Source organism: Homo sapiens, chromosome 11, assembly GCF_000001405.40.
Source record: "Homo sapiens chromosome 11, GRCh38.p14 Primary Assembly".
Lineage (NCBI taxonomy): Eukaryota > Metazoa > Chordata > Mammalia > Primates > Hominidae > Homo > Homo sapiens.
This window is the reverse complement of record NC_000011.10, coordinates 76,239,509-76,260,219: the sequence shown is the minus strand read 5'-3', so window position 1 is coordinate 76,260,219 and position 20,711 is coordinate 76,239,509. Positions and strand designations below refer to the sequence as shown.

General features: G+C 55.1%; 3 annotated features.

Moving 5' to 3' along the window:
* Window positions 2,378-3,205: an enhancer, noted in NCBI's record as "H3K4me1 hESC enhancer chr11:75968059-75968886 (GRCh37/hg19 assembly coordinates)". NCBI's record gives its function as "activates a minimal SCP1, AML or CMV promoter by ChIP-STARR-seq in naive H9 embryonic stem cells {active_cell/tissue: H9 hESC(naive)}" and the evidence as "EXISTENCE:reporter gene assay evidence [ECO:0000049][PMID:30033119]".
* Window positions 3,206-4,035: an enhancer, noted in NCBI's record as "H3K4me1 hESC enhancer chr11:75967229-75968058 (GRCh37/hg19 assembly coordinates)". NCBI's record gives its function as "activates a minimal SCP1, AML or CMV promoter by ChIP-STARR-seq in naive H9 embryonic stem cells {active_cell/tissue: H9 hESC(naive)}" and the evidence as "EXISTENCE:reporter gene assay evidence [ECO:0000049][PMID:30033119]".
* Window positions 16,630-17,462: an enhancer, noted in NCBI's record as "H3K4me1 hESC enhancer chr11:75953802-75954634 (GRCh37/hg19 assembly coordinates)". NCBI's record gives its function as "activates a minimal SCP1, AML or CMV promoter by ChIP-STARR-seq in naive H9 embryonic stem cells {active_cell/tissue: H9 hESC(naive)}" and the evidence as "EXISTENCE:reporter gene assay evidence [ECO:0000049][PMID:30033119]".

Sequence of the window (20,711 nt, the reverse complement as noted above, 5' to 3'; positions counted from 1 at the left end):
CAGCTCGGGCTGATGCAGGGGGATTGTGAGCAATCCTCCTCTCTGGGCCTCAACTGTACAGTAAGGGTTTGGACACATGACCTCAGGCCTCCTCATCATTGACATTCTCAGGGTGCCCAGGGACCTCCCTGCACCAACAAAAACCTTCCCTCATTGCTCATTGCCCTCAGAGTGAAGTTCAAGCTCTTCAGCATGGTATTCAAGGCCCTCCATGAACTGGTCCCTGTTGAGTTTGCAATCTCATATCACTTCCCACCACCTTCCTTAGGCTCCACCAACGTGGAACCAGCTCCTGGGTCACCCTTCCCTTGCTGACCTGCTGCCCTCAACTCCTTATGCAGATATGACATCCTCCTGGAAGCCCTCCCTGTCCTCATATTCCAGCAGTTACTTTGTGCTGCCTACTCCTGGTCTTGTCTGCCTTGTCTGTCCCTCCTCCTCTCCCCCTTCTCCAGATTCCTTCTTCCTCTTCCTCCTCTCCTCCTACTCATTTCTTCTCCCTCTCTTCCTCCCTCTCTTCCTCCTCTCCTTCCTTCTTCCTTCCTCTTCCTCTGCTCTTCCTCCTCCTTCTCTCCTCCTCCTCCTCTCCTCCTATTCTTCATTTCTTCCTTCTTCTGCTCCTCTTCCTGCTCCTCCTCCTCCTCTTCCAGCTCCATGGGCTGTTCTGCCAGGGGCAGGTGAACTCACTCTGATGTGGTTTGGCCAAGCCCCATGCTTTCCTTTAAACACAATGAAAATCAAACATCACACATTGCCCTGTCATTGTTAGAAAAGTCCACAGGATGGAAAAGCTGTCTTTCTACCCTCCAAGCCAGATTTTCCTATTCTTTGGAGCCCAAGCTGTCAGGGAAACTTAGAATTCTAGGATCATGGAATCACAGGATAATGGAACTTTAGACTGATGTCATCCTAGAATCCTACAATTATTGAATCATAGAGAGCCACAATAATGATATCTTAGTATTATGTAAAAACCAGAGGTTCCATTTGCAGCATGGAATCTCTGCATATGGAATCCTAGAATCCCCAGCATGTTGGTGCTGAAAATGCCAGATTGCACCCTAGGCCCGCCCCCCTGCCCCATGTTGTCTGTGAAAACCCTGTCCAGGGTCACACTCGAGTGAGAGCCGAGCTCCTGCCCTACATCAGAGCTTAACTTCCCCCTTGGTGGGAGGGAGGCTCTAGGGGTGGACAGACCCGAGCCTGGTCCCAACTCTGCCGGTCCCTCCATGTGCGATCCTGGACAACCACCCACCTCTCTGACCTCCAGTTCCATCGCAGCAAGGGCATCATAATTTTAGGAGATCAAGAAACTGTTAGCTTGTATCTTGTCAGTGTTCTAAGCTTTCTCCTGACAGGAGGCGTGCAGGGTCTTGAACAGGGCTGGGCTTTCTGAAAAGCTCTGGTGACCTGACAGGACTCGGAGGTGCAGGAAAAGCAGGTGTCTGGGACAAAGCTGGGCCTGAGGATGCTGATTCTCAGGCCCGCCAGGGAAGGACACAAATGAGACTTCCAGATAAGCCTTTCTTGGGCATCTGTCTCTACCCTGCAAACCCTCCCAGACAATGGGGTGTTCATGTCATTGCTTGAGCCTCAGTTTCCTCATCTGTAAAGTACAGAGAGCAACATTCTTGGTTCAGTGTCCAGCCCCATCAGCCCCTGAGCATGTCATGTCTTTTTCTCTGAGGCTCAGTTGACTCATCTAAGGCTTAGTCTCCAGGCCTATAGGTTCCTGAGAGCAGGGCTGAAATTTATTCACTTTTTCATCTACAGCACAAAATGGGCTAGAGGCACACAATGCATGTTAAAAACAAAGAATGTTGGCTGTGCGTGGTGGCTCACACCTGTAATTCCTGCATGGGAGGCTGAAGCAGGAGGATCACTTGAGCTTAAGAGTTTGAGACCAGCCTAGGCAGCAAAGTGAGACCCCATGTCTCCCAAAACCAAAAACCAACGACCAAAAAACTCCAAATCGACTGTGTGTTGGAAGGGACTGGAGCAGTCACCTAGTCCATCTGTCATGTGAGCCTTCTCACAGCTCACAGATCAAGTCTTTGGTTTTGGTTTTTTGTTTGTTTGTTTGGTTGGTTGGTTGGTTTTTAGAGACAGGGTCTTGCTCTGTCACCTAGTAGAGTGCAGTGGAGGGATCATAGTTCACTGCAGCCTTGGTCTCCTGGGCTCAAGCAATCCTCCTGCCTCAGCCTCCAGAGTAGCTAGGACTACAGGCACACATCACGACACCTGGCTAAATTTTTTCTTTTAGAAATAGGGTCTCATGGTTTTGCCCAGGCTGGTCTCAAACTCCTGGCCTCAAGCAATCCTCCCTCCTCAGTCTCCGAAAGCGCTAGGATTACTGGCATGAGCCACCATGCTCATCTGGGTGAGCTATTAATGCTGCCATTTCAGCCGCCTCCCCTACAGGTTGGATGTCTTCTTCTAGGCCACTAGTAAGGAATTGATCAACAGATATCTAGACCCCAGCCCTTCTGTCCCCCAAACCTGTTCTTTTTTGTTCCGCTCCACAGGGTAGCATTTGGTTTTCGCAGTCTCTGACTTATTTAGCACTGAGGGAGAGGGGGCTGAGGCTGTGGAAGCTGGGGGATCTCCTTTCGGGACATCAAAGACAGCCAGAGCTCTCAGTGCCCGTGTGGGAGGTCTAGAGGAGCCTGCCCTGTCAGCATGTGGGCAAAGTCAAGACCCCTCCTGAGGGGCAGGGATACCGGGGGCAGTGAGGGGTTGGAGGCTGGGCCGGGATCAAGTTGCCCTGAATGGAAACAAACTCCAACTCCAAACCAAACCCAAACAGGGATTCCAGGAGGAACTGGGTGTCTTAAGCAGCCCCAGGCTAGGCTGGGAGAGGGAGGGGTCAGACAGTGAGCTCGGGGCTCCAGGATCCCCTGGGGCATGTGGTTCCCAGGCAGGTGCTGAACGGCTCTCCCTAGGAGACCCAGGCTGATGGCATTTCTGTCCCGTGAGCCAGCACCAGCCATCGGGGGAGAGCAGCTCTGGGCCTGTGTTTACATGTGTCAGACAAACATCCACAGAGGGTTGCTGTCTCCCACGAGCCCCGGCGGGGAGGAGGTCAGGCCAGCACCACTGCTTCCACATTAGCGACAGGAATGGTGTGGACACATTGAACCCACGGTAGCAGGGCCCCAGCACCTCCTAGGGCACTTGTTTCAGCAAAAATAACGCTCAGCTGGGCACTCTAGGCTGGCGTCTGTGCTCACAGTTGGATGTGTTTCTGGCTTCCAAAGGAAATAGCAGTTGAGGGTGAGCCAGGCTGTGTGACATTGATGAGGGTGCCAAGAAGCACCTTAGGGTTGATCTTTGCCAAAGGGGCAGTTCCTTCATGCCTGTGGGGCCTGTGGGACCCTGGTGTAGCAGGAAAGCACAGAGTTCTGGCAGACGCTGTGTCCCTGCTGTTCCTCGGACCTTGGGCCAGCCCCTCATTGAGCCCTTCCCGCCGCCCCAGAGGCAAGGTGGACTAGGGCTCCCAGTTGGCAGATGAGGAGTGTCAGCTCCGACAGATGCTCAGACTGCAGGCGGGGGTTGAGCCCAGGGGGCCATGCGTGTGGGCGCCCCCATTAGGCCAGGCAGCCCAGGCTTCTGCTCTCCGCTCCTTTCCCCTTGGCCACCAGAGCGGAAGGCTAGTGTTTGGGAGGCCTCGCTGCGGGCCTCTGTGGCTGCTTGCGGTGGAGCTTTAGAATGTGCCTGCCACTTTTTCTTTATGCTAGTTGGTATTCCCTCGGTGCTTAAGGCATCCTTCCTTCCTTCCTTCCTTCCTTCCTTCCTCCCTCCCTCCCTCCTTTCTTTCTTTCTTTTTCTTCTTTTCTTTTCTTTTTTTTTTTTTTTTGAGACGGAGTTTGGCTCTTGTCGTCCAGGCTGGAGTGCAGTGGTGTGATCTCAGCTCATTACAGCCTGGACTTCCCGGGTTCAGGGGATCCTCCCGCCTCAGCCTCTGGAGTAGCTGGGACTATAGGCATGTGCCACCACCCCCGGCCTTGTTTTCCCCTTTTAATCTGCTTGATCCTTGATGTTGACTGGTATGTAGAGGTTGCAGTCCTCTGCCTCCCAGGTTCAAGAGATTCTCCTGCCTCAGTCCCCCGAGTAGCTGGGATTACAGGCACCCACCACCACGCCCAGCTAATTTTTGTATTTGTAGTAAAGACGGGGCTTCATCATGTTGGCAAGGCTGGTCTTGAACTCCTGACCTTAGGAGGCTAGGTGATCCTCCTGCCTCAGCCTCCCAAAGTGTTGGGATTACAAGCGTGAACCTCACACCTGGCCTGGTTTTCTAACATCATGTGTGTACTCCTTTTGTGTCATTGTGAACTTTTTTTTTTTTTTTTTTGAGACAGGGTCTTGATCTGTCACCCAGGCTGAAGTGCAGTGGCGCGATCTCAGCTCATTGCAGCCTGGACCTCCCAGGTTCAGGGGATCCTCCCCGCTGAGCCTCCTAAGTAGCTGAGACTACAGGTGTGTGCCACCACACTCAGCCTTGTTTTTCCCTTTTAGTCTGCTCGATCTTTGATGTTGACTGGTACATAGATGCCTTTCGGGACCAGCTTAGTCCCCAGAACCTCTCCTTGCAACCCCACCAGGGGTGAGGCCCTGCAGCTTTACTGAGAGCCTGACTCCTGAGGATCCACTGACACGTGGACACGTGATCCGGGCTGGACCGGGTCTTGCTGGTCCAGCTGAATTCTCTTGCTGAATTTGGGGTTTGGGGTTCAGAGTCAGCCCCAGCCACAGTCAGTCTCCAGGTGGGCCTGATATTGAGGAACGGATAGGGAGGGCTTTGGGGCATCTGCCCTCCACCATGAATCTAGGAGGCCAGCTGTGTGGCCCCGACCCTGCCCACTTCAGCTCCTGGCTGCTTTTCTAGCCCCCAAGAGATTGAGGCTGGCCCTTACCCTATCCAGAGTACCAGGGGACATACTGTGTCCCGAAGGGGAATAGGGCTCTTTAGGCCTAAGCATACCTGAGGGTCTAACAGAACAGCTGATTCATTGCAACTTCACACTGGGAGGACCACTGAATCCCACTGCCTCCCCTCTGAATTTACTGCATCAGTCAGCCCTCAGCTTTGTCGTCCTGAGGCCTCCCCTCTCTGGAGAGGCACAGTAGTCTTCCCCACAAGTAAAAACCACTTTCTCTTCTAGGTGCCCCGTTCCTTCAGGGCCCTGTCCCACCCCCACCCCTGCACACACACCTGTTCCCATGCCCTAAGCCTACCACTTTGCCCTTCCCCCAGATGTACCCTCTTCCTAACCCCATCTGGAGCCACCCACCCTTCCAGAGAGCCGCAAGCTCCAATACCACCTCCCACTCCCCTCCCCCAGCTCCTAGCGTCCCTTGAAATGCTCGGTTTTGCAGGATTCCTACCTTGCCCAGGGTTGGAAGAATGGACATTTCTTTTCATTCCACAGGCATTTTTATGCCCTCACCTCTGGGGCATGGGGGTCCCACACTGGCCAGCCTCCCACCGTCCCTCCCACTGATGTCACCACTTCCACGTCCTATGCCATGGATGGGGCAGCCTCTGAAGACATTCAGGGCAGGGCCCACCTGCGAGCTGGGTGGTGGGAGCTGTGGTTGGAGCAGGAGGCGTGGGCCCCAGGCATTTCCTGCTGTGGACCCACTGTGTGACCTTGGGAAAGTCTCTGTCCTCTCTGGGCCTCTACTGTGGCACAGATGGAAGTCAGTTCTAAAGGACTCTGCCTTTAAAGCTGCAGAGAGGAGGCTGAGGGCCTTCCCAAGAGCCCCTCCATTCCTAGCTTTTTCGGCTCACTCGGCTTCTATCCTGCCTGAGCTCCCCAGCATCCAGCCTTCACTCCCCACCTCTGCTTTGCTATACCCAGAGGGGCTGGCTGTGAGACCCTCCCTCTCCAAGGGCTTCAGAGCCACCTTTCACTTCACCTCCAGAGCCTGCCCCAGCTCTGGCCTTGCATTTCCGCTGTAAGCCATGGCCTCAGCCCTTCCATTCCTCCTTTCCTGGTCTTGGCTTCACCTTCCCCTTATCCCCTAGGGCTTGTTATGCCCCCCAAGGATGGCGATTCCCCACCCTGCTTCCAACCCAAAGCAGGAAACATTCCTCAGTGAACGGGTCCTGGGATCCTAGAGCTCTTGGGTTCCTCAGTGACTGAGGGGCAGAGGACAGAGGGAGTATAGAGGTAGAATTGTGTTACTCCTCACCTCCCACAAAAAATACGTTGAAGTCCTAACACCAAATACCTGTGAATTTGGCCATACATGGAAATGGGGTCTTTGCAGCTATAACTAGTTAAGTTGAGGTCATACTGCTGTAGGGTGGGCCCTAAGAAGAGAAGACAGAGAGACACAGGGTAGAATGCCATGGGACAACAAGCAGAGACTGGAGCCATCCAGCTGCAAGCAAAGGAGTGCCAAAGATTGCTAACTACCACCAGAAGCTAGAAAGATACAAGGAGAGCTCTTCCCTAGAACCTTCAGTGAGAGTATGGTGCAGCCAACGCCTTGATGTTGGACTTCTAGCCTCCAGAACTGTCAGAATACGTTCTGTTGTTGTAAGCCATCCAGTGTGTGGCACTGTGTATGGCAGCCCTTGGAAAGTAATACGAGACCGTACAGCTGGCTGCAGGCTTCACCCAGCTGCCCTCCCGGCCTGAGTGCTCTTTGTAGTGGGGGAATCAGAGCTCGTCCCTCCCCAGCTCACCACTCTTCTCTGGCTCCCTGTTTCACTGGCTTCCACGCGCCACTTCATAGCTGATCCAGCCACCTTCTCTGGCATCCTCTCGCACTGCTGTCTGCCTTCTTTCAGTTCTGGGTACCCCAAATGATAGCTGTGGTTCTCTCCTCCATGTCTTTGCTTATGCTGTGCCAGAAAACACATCTTTACCCAGTTCACGTCTTGCTCATTCTTTAACACTTCTCTTGGACAATCCTTTCTTCCAGGAATAATAACAAACCTTTGTGGAGGCTTCCCATGGGCCAATCACTGTGTGCTAAGTGCTTTCTGTGAATCACCCCATTCAGTCCTTACCTCTGGTGGGTAGGTGGCCTTATCCCCATTTTATAGACAGGAAAACCAAGGCTCAGCTAGGGCTCCATGAGCTTCCCACAGTCTGAAGGGGCACTGGTGGGGTCAGGACCAGGTCTGCCTGGCAGAAGCAGTGCTCTGCTTCTGCTCCACGAAGCCACCACCCCTGCCTGGGGAGCCCGCGTCTCCCCAGGAGCATCTGCTCCTCCAGGCCTCCAGCTGCTGCACGTTTCAGGATAACAAATTATCCTGTAACAAGAGGTGAAATCAAATGCGGGCCAAATAGTTTTCCGCAGCAATTTCATGCAAAATAATTCCAAGGCATCCGTCTTTTTCATCATGTGGGGTTAGAACACATGGAGACAGAAGAACCAAGGAGCCAGAACCCAACCTGGCTCTCACAAATAAATAAACAAGGCACAGACGACATCATGGCCAGCAGGCGGCTGGAGCATAAATCAGGGCTTTTATGGGGTGGGTGGCCTGTCAGGGACCCTACCCCCTGCCTGGCCTCTGAAAGAGAATACCAGTGAACATCCTTGTGACCCAAGCCAGCCCCACTCACTAATATGCCAATCCCGGGTCCCCTGCCAGCCCCTCAGCCCTACCTAGAAGCCCCCTGAGGTTTATCAAGGGCGGGCTCTCACATAGACACCCACCCACTGATTCTCTCCCTCATTCATTGATTCACTCTGTACTTCATGTATAATAAGCACTCAGTAAAAATGTCCTGAATGGATAAATTTGCTCACCACCCCTCTCCTTCCACCTTTTTTCCCATCTACCTCCCATAAGAATTTCTCCACTGTGTCTGTATCACTGAGGTCACTTCAAGATGCAATGCCCCGGCCAGGGTGCCGGATTGGCTGAGCTGGATCTCTCACATCATGCCCTCGGTACAGGGAGGTGTGGGGCTGAGAGGAGAGGGGCCGGGTAGACACTTCAGCTTCTGTAGCAGACCCGAAGTCCTGCCTCCTGCCAAGAAGCCTCCCAAACAGGAATGGGGCTAGATGGGCAGTGAAACAACATATGTCCCGATGTCCTCCTGAAATACTGTGTGGCCTGTGCCTGTGAGCAGGATTCCATCTATTAATATTTGGGCCTCACTGCCCTTCAGCCAGTTCTAGGAAGACCCCTTTCTCCTAAGGGCTTAGGGTTTGCTGACTAGGCCAGTGGTTCCACTACCCACCATTTCACATGTCTAGATCCTGCATTTGGCACTCAGTGGGTTTTCCGTGAATGACAGCTCTTACTGCCTCCCATTTTCCATCCCAGTAGACCTCATGGCTTTTTTTTTCCATTCATCCACTCATTATTGTGTGTTAAACACACAATAAAAACAAAAAACGTGCCATCAGTAACATTCAGTATTTCACAATGGGCAACCATCACCACTGTCTAGTTCCAGAACAATTTCATCATCCTAAAAGGAACCCTCATTTCCCCATTCCCCCAGTTCCTGGCAGCTACTGGTCTCCTCACAGCTTGGCAGTGATTATTCTAACACAAAAGAGGTAGATGCATTATCCCCAATTCATGGATGCAGAAACAGGGCTGTGCATACATGCTCACATGAATGCATCAACACATACACAGCTGGCTTCAGCTGGGCCCCACTCACTCTCCACAGAGCAGCACCTTCAGAGCAGTGTGTCCTGGGTCTCCCTCCAAGCCCCTTCCTGGTGTTACAGGATCTTTAGGGTGTTGCTTCACCAGCTGGAAACCTCTGTGGTTGGTGGCACCTCTGCTTGGGTTTTGCTTGTGCCTGCTGGGTTTGTTCCACCCACTCAGTCTGACAGGCTGTGCTTGGTTCCTGCTACTGGCCTGGATCCTGCCAAAGTCAAGTCAGGCATGGAGCGGTGAGGGGTGTATGAGCAAGTGAGCGCAGAGTCCGGCCACCACACATAGCCAGGCCAGCTGTGGTGGGGTGGTCAGCTCCAGGTGTTGGCTCTGTGCAAGGCTGCAGCTGGACTAGATGTACCAAGCGGCTTCCACCACAGGCACCAGCATCTGGAAAAGGGAAACACAATGGCACCCGAAATGTCAGAGACACCAGGAACCACAGATCCCCAAAGAGGGTATTACAACATGTAACAGCCCTTGCTCAGGGAGCCCAAAGTCTGGGCTTCCAGAAGGGCTGCAGCTTTTCTCTCCTAATTGCCCACAATATGGTAAGCCGGGGGGAGGGGGGGGTTGTGTTTCAGTCCTGTCTGTGTTACAGCTCTTTCAGTCCTGCCATTTGGCAGGTCCCAAGTTCTTGTCCCGCACCCAGGAAGAATGAGGTACTTGGACAACTGGAGGGTGAGCAAAGCAGAGAGGAGCATTATTGAGCAACAGAACAGCTCTCAGGAGACCTGAAGTAGGCAGCTCCTTTCTGCAGGCTGGTCATCCCAGTGAGTGTCCAGCTCTCAGTGGAGAGGAGACCTGTAGTGGGTAGCTCCTTTCCACAGGCAGGTCATCCAAGCAGGTGTATGAGTCTGGCTGAGTCTGGGGCTTTTATGTGCTCAGAATAGAGGAAGTGCGTGCTGATTGGTCCATGGGTGACCATGGGTGGGTCTGGAAAAAGCACCACCCTATTGGCCAAACAGTCATCAATGAAGTTCTCACTCCCCATGTTGACTTCTCCGAGCACTGACAGCCCAGCCCCCATGCTTCAGGTTGTCCCTGGCTTGAAGGTGGGGCCTCACAGGGACCCATCCCTTCCTGCCTAGGAACCTGTCTGCCTCCTGATGCCATCAACATGTCATTCACAATGCCCATGCTGTTCACACCAAGGGACATCTGCAGGCTCATGCTGAGCCACCTTTGGCCCCCAGCCTTCCTGTAGCACTCCTCACCCAATGTTCAGAGGGGGCTTGAGGTGGCAGGGTGCTGGCGTGTCAGTGCCACCCCAAGCATGTGCACACCCAGCTGGGTCACAACAGTGCCTGGGCTTGGCTACACGCCCCCTGCTTGCCACATTGCAGGTGATGAGAAGGAGAGAAAAGCTGTGGCCCTTGTGGGAGCCCAGACCTTGGGGCTCCCGGAGCCAGGGCTGTGACATGTTGTAACACCCTCTTTGGGGCTCTGTGGTTCCTGGCATCTCTGACCTTTCAGGTGCCCTCATGTTTCCCTTATCCAGACACTGCTGCCTGCTGCAAAAGCTCCGAACTCAGAGCAGGCATTGGGAGCAGGCACTTCCAAGCCTGCAGGCCAGATAGCATGGGGATGCCTAGGCTGGGAGCCATGACTGGGTGGCTGTAGCTGTGCCCAGGAGCATGGGGCTCCCATCCTGCCAACTCAGTAGAGTGCGGGGCCACCACCTGTTCCTGGCCCCACTGGCTCCATGGAACCTGCAGCCCTGGCTGTACCTCCCCTGCTACAGCTGGAGTCCCCACAGTGGCTGCTCCAGATGGGCTGCTGCCACCATCACTGGCACCTTCAAGGCTGAGGCAGATGCCTCCCTCCAGTGGCTCTGGATTTCTTTCCTTGGTATGTGTGAAGGAAAGGAGTGTGCTGTCAGTTCATAGGTAGTCTTGGTTGGTTACCCTGTAAATCTAGGCTATTGACTGATGGACTGAAAAGGCCTCAGGTGATGGTGGGGGTTAGGGAGGAAGGTGGCAGGGAGGGTGCCCAGGACGCAAGCCACACCTCTGTTGGTTTTGGCCCCTGAGCAGAAGTTGACACGGTTCTCCTTGGCTGGTAGGCAGGGTTTGATTACACACACACAGCCCCTCCTGCTCACACCTCTTGGCCTTTGCAGACACTGTGTGCTCTATCTGGACTCCTTTGTCTCCCTCAAACCTCTCCAGCCTGTTGCTCCTATTCATCCTTCAAAACCCTCTTAGTGTCACCTCTGCATGGGAAGGGCAGTGATCTCAACCCTAGTGTAGTCAGTGACAGAATCTCCAGGGGGTGGAGGCTGGACCTTTGGGCAGCTACAAAGCTCCACAGGTGGGTATGGCTTGCAGCCTGCCCTGAGAACCCCTTTGAGATCCAGCCACCTGTGCTCCCCATCGGAGCTCCTTCCCCCTATTTGGAGAATGTCCATCCCCCCCGTTCTCTGAGCAACTTGACACAAGAGTCTGCAGAACATCCTGGTTAAGAGCCCAAGACATTTTTTGTTTTTTAAACCAGCTTTATTGAGATATAATTCACATGTCATATAATTCTCCCATTTAAAGTGTACAACTAATGGCTTTTGTTATGTTGCATTATTAATTTTTTTAAATTGTGGTAAAATATATATAACATAAAGTTTGCTATTTTAGCCATTTTAAGTGTATAATTCAATGCCATTAATAACATTCACAATGTTGTACAACCACAAGAGCCCCAGATTTTGGCTTCAGATGGAGACCTGGGTTTAGTCCTGGTTCTTTCACTCCATAGCTGTGCAGCATGCCCTCCAAACCCCTACTTACCCATCTGGAAATAAGGATTCTAGGGGCTACTTCATATAGTCATTCTGAGGATTACATGAGGCACCGGGGGGTGACAGGGCCTCATCGATTGTGGAACCCAGTATGAGGGCTCCCCATATGCCACTGCTGTGTAGCATTATCACCCATGTGCTGTGTGGCCTCAGGCGAGTCCCTGGCCCTCTCTGGCCCCAGCCCCTGGCTTTAACAAGGCTGAATTTGGATTAGATGACCCTGAGGGCCTAGGAGCTCTGCCATCCAGTGCTCACTGGTCTGCCCCATCAGAAGTCATCTGCCTTCACTGAGATGTTAACCTCCTCCTCTGAGAACTGCCCCCTAGTGGTCCTGGCAACCATGGTGATCATGTGACATGGCCATAGGTGACTGGACCTGAGAGGACGTGTGACTCAAGTACATTTGGACCTGGGACACTGGCCTGCTGATGGGTGGTCAGTGGTGCTGGAGTGGGGAGCTGAGATGTGGAAGATGCACATGTAGCTTAAGCCCAGCTGGGGTGAGGGATGGCAGTCATGGGGGACTCATTTGGAACAGGTGGCAGGCCCAGATCCTGACATGCCAGGCCAAGGAACTTGGACTTAAATCCTGAGGGGAGTGGGAACCCCATCATTCTTGGGCATTAAAACCATGCTGGGCCCCATCATGGAGCCTCTCAGGGCTGAGCTAAGGGAGGAGGGTGTGGCACAGGGTGAGGGAATGAACAGGGGTCCCCAGGCCATGTGACTTTGGGCCAGGCTGGGCCTCTCAGCTCTGGACAGAGCTCCAGTCTTCTCTTTCTGACAGTAGAGTTGGACTCAGGGGTTCCCAAGGCCCCTCAAGCACTGATTGTCCCCGAAAATCACAGGGCTTTGAGACCAGGACTGAGGTAGGGAGGACTGGGGGAGGTCCTAACTAGACACTCTCAGTAATTGGAGCTGTTCTTGTCCATGCATGCAAAGGCTGGTTCCCAGAGAGCAGGAGGACGCAGCTCCAGGTGTGCAGATGGAGTCTTCCCCAGGCAGGACAGAACAGGGGGCTGGAAACCCCAGGGTCTGCAGGGACTGTCTGGGGTCTGCAGCCCCTCCAGGCTGAGGCTCTATGCCACATCCATCAGGGGCTTTTTTTTTTTCTTTTAACAGAGTCTCACTCTGTCGCCCAGTCTGGAGTGCAACGGCGCCATCTTGGCTCCCTGCAACCTCTGCCTCCTGGGTTCAAGCGATTCTCCTGCCTCAGCCTCCTGAGTAGCTGGGACTACAGGCACATGCCACCATGCCCAGCTAATTTTTGTATTATTTAGTAGAGACTGGGTTTCACCATGTTGGCCATGCTGGACTCGAACTCCTGACCTCAAGTGATCCACCCGCCTCGGCCTTCCAAAGTTCTGGGATTACAGGCGTCAGCCACCATGCCCAGGTATCAGGGGCTTCTTTTTGGTCTACAGAAGTGCAGAAAACATCCCAGACTGAAAGCCGGTTGGGTGAGCTTCCTGTGCCTCCAGCCTGAGGGCCAGCATCCCAAGTGGCTCCAGAAGACAGCGCCAAGGATGGCTCTGTGCTGGGAGTCCTTGCAGGCCCAGAGCTGGCCCATCTGCCCTGGGAGTTAGACACCAGGCCTGCCCAGTGCAGCCTGTTGGCTATAGATGGCCAGCATAGATGATAGAGTTGTTAGGAATGGCTATGTTCCTGTGGCAGCATCTGTTTACTGTGATATGAGGCAGTGACTTAACCTCTTTGGGTCTCTGTTTCTGCATCTATAAGCTGGGAATAGCAATCTCTGTCCCTTGTGGAGCTGTCATGAGGCTTAGATGAGATGGTGTGTGTGTGGCGCTGACAGTGAGCCTGGGGTGGCCAGTGCTCTCCAGATGGCAGCCATGGCTCTAGCAACACAGACTGGGCCCTCTGGAATCTGGGGTGTGCAGAGGACAGTGGCCGGGAGTGAGAGGGGGGCTGGAAAGAAATGTGGGAGAGGTAGGAACCCCAGTAAGTCATGGGAGAAGGAGGGAAAAGCATCCCCACTGGGGTGAGGGGTCCTTGCTTCCTGAACCCCTTTCTGCTCCAGCTTCAGGTCCCACCTGGGCTTCCCACCCCCCACTGGCTTTCCCATGTAGGGCATGAAGATGTCTGCCCCTACTGACAGCAGCCACCAGGCACCAGGGGGGCGGGAGATATCCCCAGACTCTGGGAGCAGATCCCTATGTGGAGGAGGACACTGAGCTGCAGAGGAGGACAGTGATGTGCCACCACCTGCCACACAGGGAGCCGGACAAGGCCTGGCCCCTTCCCCACTCCTTGCTGTCTCCTGTGGTCACCTGTCAGTGTGGCCGCCATCTTGTTTCAGACAGGTCACCTGGGGGACTGCCCGACAGCGCCTGGCAGAGCAGCAGCAGAGCTTGGGGGCCAGCCATGCCAGACCTCCCCTCTCTTGGCCAAGCCACACGGCTCTGCTACAGAGCCTCCCAGTGCCCGAATCAGTCGGGGCCTCTAGCACTGCACCATCTTCGCAGGCTGGGTCCTCAGGGAGCTCGGTGAAGGCTCAGCTCCTCTCCTCACCCAGAGGAAAATCAGGTTGTGTTTTGAGGGAGCAACAGACAGAGAGATTGTGCTGGGCCTACTAGGCTCCTGCCTTCTCAGCGCCTGAATCTGTTTTGGGGCCCCTTTTGCTCTCCCATGGCTACAGGGCCCATCAAGCTTCTGTGGTGCCTTTGTGAAAGTTAGAAAAAGGTGCCCCATCTGGGCAGTCACAGCCCCGTGCCAGGATTTCACCCCCTCTCACCCCCTCAGCCAGTGCCCTTGTGCAGTGAACACCCTGCACAACTGGGCCCTGCCCAGCCTTCTCTGCTCTCCCCTCCCAGCTGAGTCCCATTCTAATGTGAGGCTTCCCTAGACATGCTGGGCAGGAGGCACCTTCTCCCCAGCACACCTTTTTTCCTTCTCAGGACCAACCCAGAGTCCTCTCTTGTGTCAGGAGGGCCTGTGGGGCCTGGGCAGGCAGAAGGCCCATGCCTAGGTTTATGTGCCTTCCAGAATTCTCCAGCTTAGCTCCTGTCTGTGGCTCCAGGCTCCAACTCCGAGGAGCACCAGAGCTCCCTCTCCTCCTGCTGTTGGGGCTCAGCCATCCTCACTTCCAGTGGTCTCTTCTTCTTTGAAGGTCTCTGTATTCCTGATGGAGATGCCATGGGCTGTGCACACCAGCTGAACTCCCCACTAGAGATCCTCTCTTTGCTCCCCATCACCCTTAGAACACAGTTGAGGGTCATTAACCCAGCCCCTCAAGGCCCTCACACCTGGCCCTGTCTTCACTTCCAGCCTCGCCCCAAGTCCCTCCCCTCCTACCCTCTGGGCTTCAGCCAGAGGAAATTCTTCTGTTCCCAAAAGGCACCAGGTGGTGTCAAGCCTTCATGCTACTCACCTCACAGTGCTCTCCTGCTCTAGAAATGAGTGATATTACAGATCCCAGCAGTTTACACAGAATGCTCATGACCATTAGCTCATTTGAACCTCACCACAGCTCTGGGAGGGGAACAGGGCAGAAGTTTTCCATCTATGCCACCTATTTTGGCATCTGGTAAGGTCCCCTCTTACGGATGCTGGGTCTTATAAAGGACAATATGATGATGTCTTCGTCCCTTTGGGCTGCTATAGCAGAATACCATAGACTTGGTAGCCTATAAACAACTGAAATGTATTGCTCGTGGTTCTGGAAGCTGAGAAGTCCAAGATCAAGGTGCAGACAGAGTCAGTGTCTGGTGAGGACCCACTATCTGCTTCAGGGACTGCCACCTTTTTGCTGTGTTCTCACATGGCATAAGGGATGCGGGGTCTCCCTGAGATCTCTTTTACGAGGGTCCTAATCCCGTCATGAGGGCTCCACCCTTATGACCCGATCACTTTCTAGAGGCCCCTAGAAATACCATCGCACTGGGATTAGGTTTCAACATGTGAATTTATGGGACACATTAAGACCACAGCAGCTGAGTAGATGGTGAATGGCTGGATGGGTGGGCAGGGACTGGATCTGGAGGGAGGCCAGGAAAAGTTTGAAAATGTGATAGAATCAGTGCAGCCTGGTAGGGGTCGGGGTGGCACTGAAGGGGGTTCTGGTCTGCACGATTGGGTGGCCCCAGAGTAGGGAGAGAGGCAGCCAGTGATCTCTGGGGTCCAAGAAGGGGAGGAAGGGCCTCCATGATGGGCCAGGGCCCCATAGGAGAAAGCAGTGCTGCAGAAGCCTCCTTTCTCCTGGTTAGTCAGGCACTGCCCAGGGATGAACGTGGCATCTGCCAGGGCTCTCAAGCCACCAAGTCAAATACTGGAAGGTCTCACTCTGCTTCAGCTGGCCACACCCACCCAGGAGGGCTCGGGCTGCAGGTGACATGTGGGGGAGGGGGTGAGCCAAGATAGCTTGCAGTGGGGTGGGGTGAGGGCCTGGAACTTTCCATCATATGGGCCTGGGACTTTGGTTTCTCAGTCCTCCCAACTCCCACAGTGGATAAGTCGGGGCTTTGGGGAGCAAGGGAGGAGAGTCTGAAAACCATCAAAGAATCTCCACCTGAGAGAGACACAGATGGGAGAATGGGGGTGGGGAGGAGAGGAATGGTGGAAGCTGGAGAACTGGAGGGATCTCTCAGTCAGGGGCTGCTCCCACCTTCCCCTGCCCTGTTCCTTTCCCAGGCTGGATGGGAGCCCCCCATGTCTGTGTATCTGCGTGTGTGTGCCCACCAGCTCGCATGCGTGTGTAATCGTACCTGCCTCATAGGGTTGCTACAGGAGGCTTGAACAAGTTCACGTTCATGAAAGGCTGGGTGCTGCTGGCACGTGGTAAGAGCTCTGTAAGTAAGAGCAGCCATCGCACAGGAGGAGAGTGTGATGGGCAACAGCTAGGACTTGAGTTTGGCTACCAGAGCTCCTACAACTGCTAAGTGTTAGCAGTGATGGGCGCTGTGAGCCCACTTGTGTTTGGTCCGCAGGGGTAACTTTTTGCAAGTACCACGGTCGGCCCCCTCTCCCCCCAGCAGCAAACCTTTGCCCCTCACGGCGCACCACACTCATCAGACAGTACCCTCTTTGCTAAACAGGGAGCAGGCGCTAACGTCCTGTGTCACTCCCCTACACACGCCTGCAGCTAGCTGTTCTCATTCTAGCTCCGTCCTCCTTTTGCCCTGTCCCACAGAAGAGACTTCCAACACCCCGTCCCTGGGCACCTCTTCCCTCTCTCAGGCCCCTCTCCACCCGGCAATCCCCGCCCCCCCGCAACCCCGACACCTCCCCTCCGCACTCCCTCCCATTTCCATGGAAACACATTCACTGTGCTCCCCCTCCATCCCTTTCCCCTTTCCCCCTGGCCTCACCTCTGTCCTAGCCTCAGGCCTGGCTCACCAGCCCTCCCTCCCTCATGCATCCTGATGCCCGACTGCCGCTCCTCTCCAGGCTCCCTCCCGCCTCTCGGGTCACTGGATCTCCCTCTTCTGCTCAGCAGTGGTAGGGTCCCTACTTCTCCCTCGACTCCTGGCTGTTCTCACTCTGCCTGCTCCGTGTCATTCGCCCTCATGTGGCCAGCAGCCAAGTGCTGATGCCCCTTAGCCCTCTCTCCCACCAGGCCCACTTTCCTGGGCTCTGCCACCTGCATCAGCTGCCCCTGGCACACTGCTCTAGGGTGGAGAGGGTTTGAAGCTGGAGACAGACTCAGATGCACACGCAGGTCTCCACAGGCCTTCATGGAACGCTGCCATTCCCATTTTGAAGCTCTCGTGGCATGGGGGCTCATTCCCTCCTGCCAGGAGAATCCCTATCTCTGCTTAGGAGAAAGCTCTCCCCTGGCACTGCCACTCAGCCTATCAGAGACCAGGAGGCAGAGCCACCTCTGGGATGGGCAGAGTGGGAAGTGCTGCTTCAACTCTTCCAAGTCAGGTGGCCATGGGCAAGTTCCTTCTACTTTCTGAACTCAGTTTCCTGAGCCACACAGGCCCCTCCAGCCCTAATATTCCACAGCTGCAGGGAGGGTTTGGAAAGCAGGAGGTCTGTGTTCCAGGCTTTTCTCTGCCACCCGCAGCCTGTGTGGTTTTGGGAGACTCTCCACCTGTTTCCTCAGTTTCCCCATCTGAACAATGAGTGAGCTGGCCCTAGTGATCTAAGGGGCTCCCTGGGTCCTGTCCTCTGTTTTGAATGTCACCTGGGTTGGGGAAGCTTGACCTCTTTCCCAACTAAAGCCCACCTCACGCTGGTCATCCGAGAGCTGGGGGTGCAACAGGTGGGAAATGGTGAGGGCAGGGGCAGGAGAGCTGCACTCCCTGGCCTGTAGTCTGGCCCCTCAGAGTGGATCCCCAGCCCAGTCACTTCAGAGGCAGCAACCGCTCCCTGTGTAGCAGACAGGGCCCCATCTTCACCCACCGTCACAGAATTCCTCTGAGCTGGCTGGGCAGGGACCCTATTTTACAGACAGGAAGACCAAGGCCCAAGGCAAGAAGGGGTCTGCCTAGATTCACACGGCTAGTCTGTAGCTAAGGTGGAACTCAGAGACTGTGAGAATTCCATGGTGTCATGTCCCTTGTCATTCACCGCAGCGGCCCACCCCCCACAGGGTCATTGGGTCCCACCCCTCCTGATGCAAAGGGGAAACTGAGACCCAGAATGGTGCAGAGCTGTGCATTCTCCCCATTGACCTCAGCTGCAGCTGCAGAGATAGCTGACAAAGCCCCAAACCTCTCCCCGGCAGCCTCGCTTGACGCCTAAAATCCCATCAGAGCCCCCACATTTGGGTAAAGCATGTATCCAGGGGCCCTTGTGACGAGAGGGGCAGAAAGGCAAGAATTACAGGCATGTGCTGTCCTCAGGCTCCCAGAACAGCCAAGAAGGAAGGAGCCTGGGGAGCCATGAGGGGCCAGGGGGCCAGAAAGGGTGAGGCATTTGCCCGGGTTCCACAGCGGGTTGGGGCTTAGTCAGGCAGCAGACCCCAGAACCAGTACCCATGCCCAGGTTGCCTGCCCCCACCCCCTGCCCCTTCGGGCAGCCTCCTCTTGTATGTATGGTCCTGGAAGGAAGGCCTGGAGTGGCAGGGCCAGTTCCTCCGGCTGGGACGGTGGGTGGGGTGCACAGGAACATCTCCCCCCAACCTGAGTCGCCCTTCCAGAGGATGCCGCGGGCGGTGGCAGATTAATGGTGCGGAGGCCACTCATTTCCTGTGGCCGGGAGACGGGCCACACCACACAGCCCCCCATTGTGGGCTGCCCTTATCTCGGGAAGTTCCGCCTGCCCCATCCGGAAGAGGCAGCTAGGACCCCATGCCCCTGGCCTCACCTTTCTTTGCCTTTTGGAAGCCAGGCTCACAGGTCTCAGATCCTGCAGGCCTCGGTCTCCCCTCCTCCCATGGGAAGCCTGGACTTGACCCTGGGAGGAGTGAGGAGCCTGGAGGGCCTGGACTTGACCCTGGGGGCAGTGGGGAGCCTGGAGGGTGGAGTAGGGGGGGCCTGGTCTCATCTGGGGTTAAGAGGGGCAATTCTAGGGGCTTCAAGAATGAACTGGGAGGGGCGAGGCTGGAGGCAGTGAGTAGAGGGAGCCTGGTTGCACATGGGGGCCCAGCTGGGATGGGGAGGACAGGGCAGGGCACCGCATTTCTCTGCTTAGAATCTCCCTTTGAGGAGTGTACACAGCCTCTGGTTCAGACACCCACTTTAGGAGGCAACACAGGCACACACAGATTCCCCAGAAAGCCTTCCCTGACTACCAGTTGGTCCAGATCTCCCCAGCCAAATGGGACTCAGCCCCCTGTGCTTTGCCTCAGACCGTTTAGACCCCTGAGCATCCTGTGTGGATGCAGATCTGTCTCCTTCATTAGACTGGACATGCCTGGATGGTGGAGACCCCCATGTCTCCAGGACTCACCCGACCCCTGCCCTCTCCACTAAACCTGGCTCCAGCCCAGCCCCCACCCCAGCCACATCTCCCTCCGCACAGGCTCTCAGAGACCCCTCCCCACAGACCTGCCCTCTCGCCTCCATGCTTTTGGCCAAGTATGTCCCTCCACCCGGAATGCCCCTTCTACGTCTCCCCTGGCCAAATCCCAGCCATCGTTAAGGGCTGCTCAGATGCCACCACTCCTTGAAGCCTTGCTAGGCCCACTACTGATGCCAGGCAGTTCTGCAAATGCCTTTCTCCCTTTTCTACCGGAGCAGCTGCATTCAATAAATTCGTTAAAAGATTCAATAGCTTTTTTTAAAAAAAGTTTGAGACCATTCAATTTGTCCATCCCAACCCTTGAGAGATGAAGACACCAGCTCAACTGAGGTCTCATGAGAAGTCTAGATCAGATTTTCATTTTAACAGAGGACGCTGTTGTCAGCTTCCAAGCATGAGTTCACCATTTCCCAATGAGCAACAACCCAAGAGCTCTGGAGGGCAGCTGCAGGCCAGCAGGTGGTGGAGTGAGGACCCTGCTGGTGCACTCGCTCCTCCCGTGACATCTGCCCCTCAGGAGTGGAGAAGAGGGAAGGATGGCCTCCCTGAGACCAGACAGACAAGCCTGTGCCCGGACCGCATGGATGAAGGTGCTCAGGGGTTAGCAGAAGGCTCACAGATACTTTCACCTCCATTTCTTCCCTTCCCCGCTCACAACCTCCCTCTGGACAGCTACCTTTATACTCATTTTACCGATGAGGAAACTGGTCCCAAGAGCTTGCGTGACTTGTTCAAGGTCACCCAGAATGACGGAGGGGCTGGGAAGCCAACCCCAGTCTTCCAGCCCAGCTCCAAGTTGGACAGTGTCAAAGCCCTGCCTGAGGTCACCCAAACACAGGAACGAATGACCTTATGTGTTTGTGGCTGGGGTGGGGGTGCCCCGTAGCTCCAGGGAGACACAGGGCAGGAGAAACCTACCACTGGGATGGAGTTTGAGTGGCTTTCCATTTCCCCGGCTGGGTCCTGAAGTTAATGATTGACTTGCAGTTCTGTGCACAGCCTGGCAAGTGCCCAGATTGGGGGGCTTGATCCCTGACACTCTGCCCTGAGGGGACTCTTAGAGTGGAGGTTGGGGGAGGAAGCCAGCCTGGGCCAGGGTGGTGGCTCCATAAGGCCATGGCCATGGGAGCTGGCCTCGGTCACTGGGGGTGGTAGTACCTGCCCCCCACCACCCAGCTGGGAGATAGAGAAGAAGGTGGGGGGCAGCGGGGAGGGTCAGGAAGGGGTGGTGGAGGAACACGACCCTCTTGGTGCCAAGGCCCTGGGCACAGTGGGTCTGGGGACGAATGAATCCCTTCCTGACAGCGATGGTGTTATCCCAGCCTGCTCCTCGCCCTGGGAGTCTTC